Source organism: Homo sapiens, chromosome 1 (genome assembly GCF_000001405.40).
Source record: "Homo sapiens chromosome 1, GRCh38.p14 Primary Assembly".
Classification (NCBI taxonomy): Eukaryota; Metazoa; Chordata; class Mammalia; order Primates; family Hominidae; genus Homo; species Homo sapiens.
This window is the reverse complement of record NC_000001.11, coordinates 177237285-177243413: the sequence shown is the minus strand read 5'-3', so window position 1 is coordinate 177243413 and position 6129 is coordinate 177237285. Positions and strand designations below refer to the sequence as shown.

The 6129-nt window shown below is 42.7% G+C and overlaps 1 protein-coding gene across 3 annotated transcripts in view; it reads right to left on the bottom strand.

Annotated features, from left to right (window-relative positions):
- BRINP2 (BMP/retinoic acid inducible neural specific 2) overlaps positions 1 to 6129 on the bottom strand; it is a 111465-nt gene that overhangs the window by 39009 nt on the left and 66327 nt on the right. The gene's annotated exons all lie outside the window — the stretch shown is intronic.

The window sequence follows — 6129 nt, the reverse complement described above, 5'->3', positions numbered from 1 at the left end:
TGTGGGATCTTGGTGTGTGAGTCGTGCTCTACAGGGAGAATACCTGTCACTGTTAATGATTTATTTTGAACTATCTACAACTATAAAATCAGTGGCTAGATTAACTCAAGCTACAGTTAAGGAGAGCAGTATGTAGACTATAAGTGATAAATCTGATTAATGTACAGCGTTCTATGCATAAAACGAGTCTGGTAGAGTAAGACTACCTATTCTTTCTTCTTTCTCAATTAATCTCTCTTTATTTTCTCCCTGTACTCTTCTCTAGATTTCTCATTCTTTTTTTTTTCTTATTTACTAATGGGCGACCCCTCACAAAATGAATAAGCATTTAGCTAGAAATAAACCAAATCTTTTTTTTCAGTTATCACCAAATAATCCTATAACGAAAGTACTATTATTCCACCAATATTACTAATGAGAAAAAATGAGGCTCAGAGATGCAAAATAATTTACACAACTAAAAGCAGCAGAACTGCAGTTTAACCCAGTCAGTCTGATTCTGCAATTTAAACTGCAATTTAACCCAGTCAGTCTGATTCTAGAGCCTTGAGTCTCAACCACTTGTTTACGCCTTCATCTAATTTCATCCCAGAACATCCTACTCCTACTGAATGGTTTCATCCTCTTATTATGCCCTTATGTGTGGCAGACATGGTGCTGGGGTCAGGAGATATAAAGGTGAAATACGACATGTTCTTTGCCTGAAGGAGCTCAGAGCCTAGTGAAGAGCAAAGAGAAATAAACAAGTGCACAAAAATAAGTTCGTATGGTAAAAATATGAATAAACTGATGGGGAATCATAGGTAGGAGTAACCAACTCTTGTAGGAGTCAAAGAAGACTTCATATGGCGATGATAATTTAGATGAGTTTGAAAGGTGAGAAGGAGCTCAGAGGAGATAAAGAGCTTTTGGGGTAGAGGGAATGGGTTATGGAAAGACACAGGACATCAAGGGGGCCTTCTGTGGGCAAATCTGGAGGTGTTCATCGGGACTGGAACAGAAGAAAAACAGGAAGAAATGGTGGGGCACAATCAATGGCAGAGGGTCAGTATTCATTGACTATTTGTTGAAATAGTGAATGAATGGATTTGGAAGTGAGTTTTATGCTAAGAAAATGGGTTTGGGTTTTATTTTTGGGGGACAGATGGACCAACAAGGACTTAGGCAGGTTGCATTAGAGAAGTGAGGAAAGTACGAATGGTAGACAATGAAGCCAGGGGAAAAGAAAAGAGGCTGGATTTGAAAGACAGTTCTGCGATAGAATCTACAAAACTCAGATGGGGAGAGAATAGAGAAGAGGCAGGAGTGACAGTAGCCAGGTGGCTGTTCATACCGGCTGTTCATACAGGTGGCAAAGAGTGTAGCAGATACAAGTGTATTAGGACCTCATGAGTTCAACTCTGGCTATGATTTTACCACAAAAACTAAATCTAGGTATACAAAATCAAACTCAGTAACAGCTGGATGTAATCCTTTGAACTTGGATGAGAAACCTGTATTCTCTAGACACAACTCCAGCACATTTCCAACGTTCCTCGAAGCACTGAGATTTCAGCTCCAGAAGAGTCACCCTGTGTCCTGAGGTGTGCCTGTGACCTGGCACCACTGTCGCTAGTCTTCGACAATGGCACAGAAAGCAAGAAGTCAAAGAAGTCTGGGGAGAGGGAAATGCCTGACCTGAGAAACTCTAAAATGAAAAACTGATATTGATCCATGACAAAATTCTTGAGTACTTTGAAATGTGAGCAAGCAAGCAAGCTCCCTAGGAGTCAGAATTGGTTTAGGAAGAAAACCTTATGTCAAAATAAATTTCATGTATTTTCTTCATGAAGAAAGATGGAAAAGGGAGAGTTGGGGAAAAACAAACAAGGACAGCTTGTGGAAGAGAATGCGAGAGGAGGGGAAGGAGGAGGAAAGAACCTCTGGAAGGAAGTTACAAAGCGCTAACGAGTCTAGGAATTGGGGAGAGTAATAACTGTTTTCAAAATCTAGAGCCCTGTTGTGAAGTTAGACTTATTCTAGAGAAATAAAAGAAAGCAAAATCAGGACCAATAAGGGAAGGTTATGGGAAGAAAGACTATGATTCGATTTCCAAAAGATCTTCATAATGTTTTAGGCTGCTGAATAAAAATTGGCTTCAGTGGTCCGGGCGCAATGGCTCACGCCTGTAATCCCAGCATTTTGGGAGGCCGAGGCAGGGGGATCACGAGGTCACGAGATTGAGACCATCCTGGCTAACACGGTGAAACCCGGTCTCTACTAAAAATACAAAAAATTAGCCGGGCATGGTGGTGGATGCCTGTAGTCCCAGCTACTTGGGAGGCTGAGGCAGGAGAATGGCATGAACCCGGGAGGCGGAGTTTACAGTGAGCTGAGATCGCACCACTGTACTCCAGCCTGGGTGACAGAGCGAGACTCCATCTCAAAAAAAAAAAAAATATTGGCTCCAGTGAGCACCTCATGGCTGGAACTGTTCAAGCTAGGACCCACTGACCACCTTCTTGACTGTCTGCAGACTGGTTGTCTTCACTGGCTAGGAAATAAGTGATGTTAAGTTTCCTTCTAACTCACAGATTCTGGCATCACTTAGCCCTGATTGGCCGTCCCACATTGTCAAGCTTCCTTCCACACCCAAACACTGTGTAGCTTTGGCCTCTTGTCCCAGGCTAATAAGCCCTGTGGTTTTCAGATTTCATCTTCTAGCCTGACTGTGATATGTAGGCACCAACATGCACACATCTATCCTAGTGGTTGCAGAAGACAAAATAATGTATTCTCAGCCTCCAGTCACATTTCTTTTACGGAGTCTCACTTGTTCCTGAGTTTCTCAATGAACCAGGCCAACATTCAGGGACTCTCACAGCCTCTTTTCCTCTCGACTCCTCTTTTTTAGTGTTGTTCTTTTTAATTTAGGGATGGTTCATTGAATTTTAAGTTTTAAAATTATTCTTTAATCAACATATAATAATTGTACATTTATAGGGTACAGTGTAATATTCCAATCCATGTATGCAGCATGTAATGATCAAATAAGGGTAATGCCCTCTTTATCAGACTCACAATTTAGAACATACACAGAACCAGCCAAGCAAGAGGCTGGCTTATGATGCTAAAGTTTACCGCTGTTACTAATAAACCAACTACGTAACTCATGTCAAGGGATCATTAGGTGTTTACATGCCTCTGTGGATCCAGGAGAACTCACTCCCCAAAGAGACTTTCTTCCTATCCCTCCTTCGTCACCAGTGTGTCCCCAAGTGAGGCAGAGGCTTTCCTGGGAGACAGAGAAAATGAGAATTCTCTAGGGCACTGGGGCTCATAACAAAGAACTTGGTGAGCAGTGGTTCTGGCTACCTCGTTTTTATCCCATCAGGCCTCCTGCCCAGCCAGTAAGACTTCTTACTCACTCTGATTCACTGTCACATCCAGAGCTTGTTTGCTCTTTGCAGAGGAGGAGGAAAGAGGCACACTTCTGGGCTCAGAGGAGAGCTTGGCAGGGTGGCAGGATCATAGAGCATTAAACAGGTACAATGGAGAAGACATGGCTGGGAACTCCTGCCAGATTCCTGCATCTTCCCCAAAACATATAACAGCCCTAATCTGTGCACAGCTATACCTAGAAATCTTAAAATATACTCAGGGGCCTCAGCCTCTATGTCTCTCTCACTGCTTCACCTGAGTGCCTAGTGTGCTGTGAATGTGAAGGCAAGTGGGACTGTAACAGAGCATACACCAATCTCATCACTGTAAGAAAATTCAAATTTACAAAGTAGACCAATAAGCAGAGATTGCATGCAACACCAAAGGTTTCTTCTGCCTTTATGAAAATACTCCCTGAAATATAAGACATTTCCAAGTGGACATGTGTGTTTACAAATCAGTACCTACCTAATTCTAAAGTCAGGTGGTAGGGATTTACTTAACACTGAATTTTTATAAGCCATGGCCAGGCAAGAAGTAAGATACTGCATCTTGGCAATGGCAGTAAGTGTTCCTCCAGGAGAGGATTCGATTTACAGAAATTCGATTTACATCGCACCCTTGTAGAAACACACCAGCAGTGCACAACCAACACATACAGAATTTGCTGTGGGTGCATTGTTTCAGGAAGATCCATCTGTGGCTTCCTCCCACTCAGGGTTCCCCGGAGCCTAAGCACAGATGGAAAACTCTTGTGGAAAGAGAGAACGAATGACAGGGTCTTTGAGGGAAATGGGTCAGCCTCCAGCCTTCTGAGGCCTGTCTTCTGCATCTCAAAGACCTACCGGGCTGCCTAAAGAAAGAAGGACAAAGAGCCCCAGTGACAACCCGAGACACTGTTTCTCTCAGAGCATTAAGTAGCCCAGGCTCAGTGATTTATTTCATTAAATAATTATCATTAATGGACAGGTTCCCTGTCTTATTGGTTGAGTGCTGGCTCTTCCTCTTATCAGTTATGTGACACCCTCTAAAACTCAGTGTCCTCATCTGTTATATAAGTGTACAAATAGCAGACCCTTGTGGGGTTCTTACTAGGATAATTTTAATTAATGTTAATAAAGTACTTAGTAAAATGTGCATATGATGAGCATTTAATATATATTAGCTACTAGTATTCATTAATGTCATTAATATCTCATAGTACAGAGAGAATGCTTTCTTTCCCTAAGTTAAATAGAAATTTTGACCAACTATTTTTTATTTTTTCAGACCATCTATTTTCTTTGTCACTTTACTCTTTTCTTCCCATGGGAGAATTGGGGAGATTGGCGAGAGCCTGCTGTTATCATCCATATTTCTCAATACTGTGTAGAGTTCATGGATTGAGACCCCAGCTCACAAAAGGCTCTTGTCTCTTGGACATTCAAGCCCTGCAATGGGAAACGCTTCTGATCATCTCCCCCTCCTCACAGTCAGCTCACTTGGCAGAGCTGTCCCTCTGAGGTTTCTGGCTTGTCCCATCCCCACAATCCAGTGATGGCTTCTCTAGTTGCTTCACTTAGGATTAGGCAAACCAATCTGATGGACAAACCCAGCTGACTTTAGTTTGGGGCAAAGGCAGGATTGTAGGACTGGCATTGCCAGCTCTGACTCAGGTCCAAGCTGTCATCTGCAGCCCAACTTATCTTCAGTTCCTTGTGAGCAGACTCACTGTTTCTACTCCCAGAGGGGAAGATGGTAACTGGCATGGGAGCCAAGCTCCTCTCACCCAGACTTTTTACTATACCACAGGCCTCGCCCACTTCTAATCCTTTGCATACGTGGGTCTTCCTGGAAAGCAGAACTCTCTGAGGCCTGGGCTCTGTCTCCTTCAGGGTCTGTCCCCAGCCCTTGTAGAGTGGCCAACACATACAAATCCTGGATAAACATGGGCTGAATGAAGAAACACCCCACCCTGTGCCACTCACTGTTCTAAGCTCCATATACTGAAATGCTTTTCTTGTGGGATATGTGGGAAGCTCTGGGGTGAGAGAAATGTGGCAGAAGCTGAATAAAGAAAAAAATATTGAGAATCCTTGACCTAGAAAAAGCTATTCTCTTAAAGAGAGAGAGAAAAAAAGACCATATGACTCGACAGCGTCCCTGTCGGCCTGCACCTGTGTCGTGACAGTTTCCGGATGAAGTCTACCTCACTCCTTTCTACACACACACACGTCTCTAAGAAGCAATTCATTCATGAATAAAATTAATTATTTCTAGAAGCAAAATTTAATCCTCTTTTCCTTTGCCTGACTGACTCAAGATCTCTTACCAAATCTCATCTGAAAACAAAACTGATCTTCCCTTCCCCCCTTGGCCATCCTGAATGCTCCCTTCATTTCTTCCAAATTTTTATTTTCACATTTTCTCTTCACAAATCAACTTTGCAATCTTATCTCAAGCCAGGGTGGCTAACCTGGGTATAGCCCCCAAAGACATGGGAAAATGTGTGGCAAGAGCCATTGTGTCCTGGGGATGCTTGGGACTGGCATCCTAAGAATTCATTCTGACACAGCATCCATAGACCAAATCTGTCCATCAATCACTGAGAATGTATTAAATGTCTTCTTTCTAGCATTTGAGGTGATGCATCCCAATGTGTTTTCTGATGTGTATGCTGTCACTCAAACTGGACTGCTAATCTCCCAGAAATCAGTAGTATCCTGTTTT